The sequence below is a fragment of the Homo sapiens genome, chromosome 1, assembly GCF_000001405.40.
Source record: "Homo sapiens chromosome 1, GRCh38.p14 Primary Assembly".
Lineage (NCBI taxonomy): Eukaryota > Metazoa > Chordata > Mammalia > Primates > Hominidae > Homo > Homo sapiens.
Window position 1 is genome coordinate 151968578 of NC_000001.11, and position 2209 is coordinate 151970786.

At 39.5% G+C, this 2209-nt stretch overlaps 1 annotated feature.

The window, feature by feature from the left end:
* Positions 236 to 736: an enhancer, noted in NCBI's record as "H3K4me1 hESC enhancer chr1:151941289-151941789 (GRCh37/hg19 assembly coordinates)". NCBI's record gives its function as "activates a minimal SCP1, AML or CMV promoter by ChIP-STARR-seq in naive H9 embryonic stem cells {active_cell/tissue: H9 hESC(naive)}" and the evidence as "EXISTENCE:reporter gene assay evidence [ECO:0000049][PMID:30033119]".

The window sequence follows — 2209 nt, forward strand, 5'->3', positions numbered from 1 at the left end:
GGGGACTCTTCTGAATTCCTTGGTTACTGTGATATTGACAAACATTTAGTTAGTCTTTGTCCCAGTTTCCTGGCAAAAAGATTCTAAAACTCTTGGAATCTCCAGAGTAATGAATGATTTTTTGTATGCTAATGAGATGACTGGTGGCTGGGGGCCTCTAACTATCTTCAGGATGAGGGCGGGTCACCCAGAAAAACCAACCATGCGATTAGAGGGTTGGAATCTTTAAACCTCCCACCCTACCTTTGACAACTTCTCAAGAGGGAAGAGGGGCTGAAGGTCAGGTTGATCTCCAGTGGCCAATGATGTAATCAATCATGCCTATTTAATGAACCCTTCGTGAAACCCCAAAAGGCCTGAGTTTGGATGAGCTTCCAGATACTGTGCCCATAGAGGGCATGGAAGCTCCACTGCCTTCCCCCATACTTTGCCTATGCATCCCTTCTATCTGGCTGTTCATCTGTATCCTTTATAATAAACAGGCAAACATAAGTAAAGGGCTTCCCTGAGTTCTGCGAGCCACTCTGGCAAATTAATCAAACCCAGGAGGAGGTCATAGGAACCCTAATTTATAGCCAGTTGGTCAGAGGCACAGGTCACAACCTATGCTTTGAACTGACATCTGAAGTGGAAGGCAGTTTTGTGGGACTGAGCCCTCAACTTGTGGAATCTGATGCTATCTCCGGGAATGTAGTATCAGAACTGAACTGAGTTGGAAGACACCCAGCTGATGTTTGCTGGAGAATTTGCTGCAGAATTAATTGGTTGCTGGTGGGAAGAAATCCCCACACATTCTGGTAACCAGAGGTTGCAGAAGTATTCTGTGTTGATTTTTGAGTGCAAGAATAGTAAAAACACTTTGGTTCATATTTTTTCTATCTCCAGAGGCACTCTGCCTCAAGCCTAGATGTAGTAACTTCCTCCTGTATCTGCTATTTCTATGTTCTTTAGAGTTCTTTTTACCCCTTAGTTATTAATTTCCTGTTACTAATTAGTCATTGCTTATATTAAACTTTCTCTGTTCAAATTACTGTGTGGTTTCTGTCTCCTGACTTATCCTGATTGACACAATTACCAAGTGTTGAGCGTTTTTCTTGTATGCTCAATTATCTAAGATAGATATAGTAGCTTATTTTTTAAAACTCGGTTAACCTGTTGATTTTTTGTGTAATTGTATTGTGGTTAAAAAGTAGAGTTATTTGTCTTTTGGAAGTACTCACTGAAATATTTATAGACAAAATCATTGCTGTTTAAATTTGTTTCAATATAATCTGAGAGAGGAAGTTAGGGAGTAAAGAGGAAATAAGATTAGCCTTGAGTTAATCATTGTTAAAGCTAATGATGGGTACATTGCTATTTTTATATTAAATACACTTAATTTTGTATATTTTAGAACTTTTTTATAATAAAAACTAAAAATGATAAAAATATCTTTAGCAGCCTCTAGGATGGCTGGACTTTCAATAAATATGTTACGAATATTTATAAAAGAAAAAAATCATTAGTGACTTACTTCCACAATATTTCACTCTGGCTGGTGGACTTTAATGACATTTTAGGTCTCTAGGAGTTAGGGTTAGCTCAGAGCTAAAGACCGATACTTCCCAACGGTTTTCCTAGTGAATGACTGAGGTTCCTCAGGGGAGAGCTTGGAAGAAGATGCATGCTAGTGCTTGATCTGTTATTGTAGGGTTCTTGCTCAAATGTACTTGAATTCCTCTTCATTGAGGGGCTAGGTGTCTGTGCATTGACTCAGGCGTGGGAGGTGGCTTAGAGGCAATGACGTTCTACCATGCAGACTTAAGTCAGGTCTCTGTTCAGACCTGAAATATTTTCAGATATACAGATATAGTTGAAGTATATTAGTCTTTGGGACCTTATGATTAACAAGGCACCACCAAAGATCCCCTCGGACAAACTATTCTGATAACCTGGCCAGCCAAATAGCCTATTTTGTTGAATTGGAATCTGACACTAGAGTCCTGCTAGTTGGCATTTACAGCTCTGGGATTCTAGTATTCTTGTTGAAATCAGGGAGTTCATTTCTGCTGCAGCATCTCCCACTTGCATAGAAGAGTCTTCCAAGTTTTTTCCAATATATATAAGCAGAGTCTTAATAATCTCCAGGCTTCTTTTCCGGAGCTTGACTTTGTAATGGCTCTTTGGGGCATGCCAAGATCTGACTCTAGTTAAAAGTACAGAGATGGGC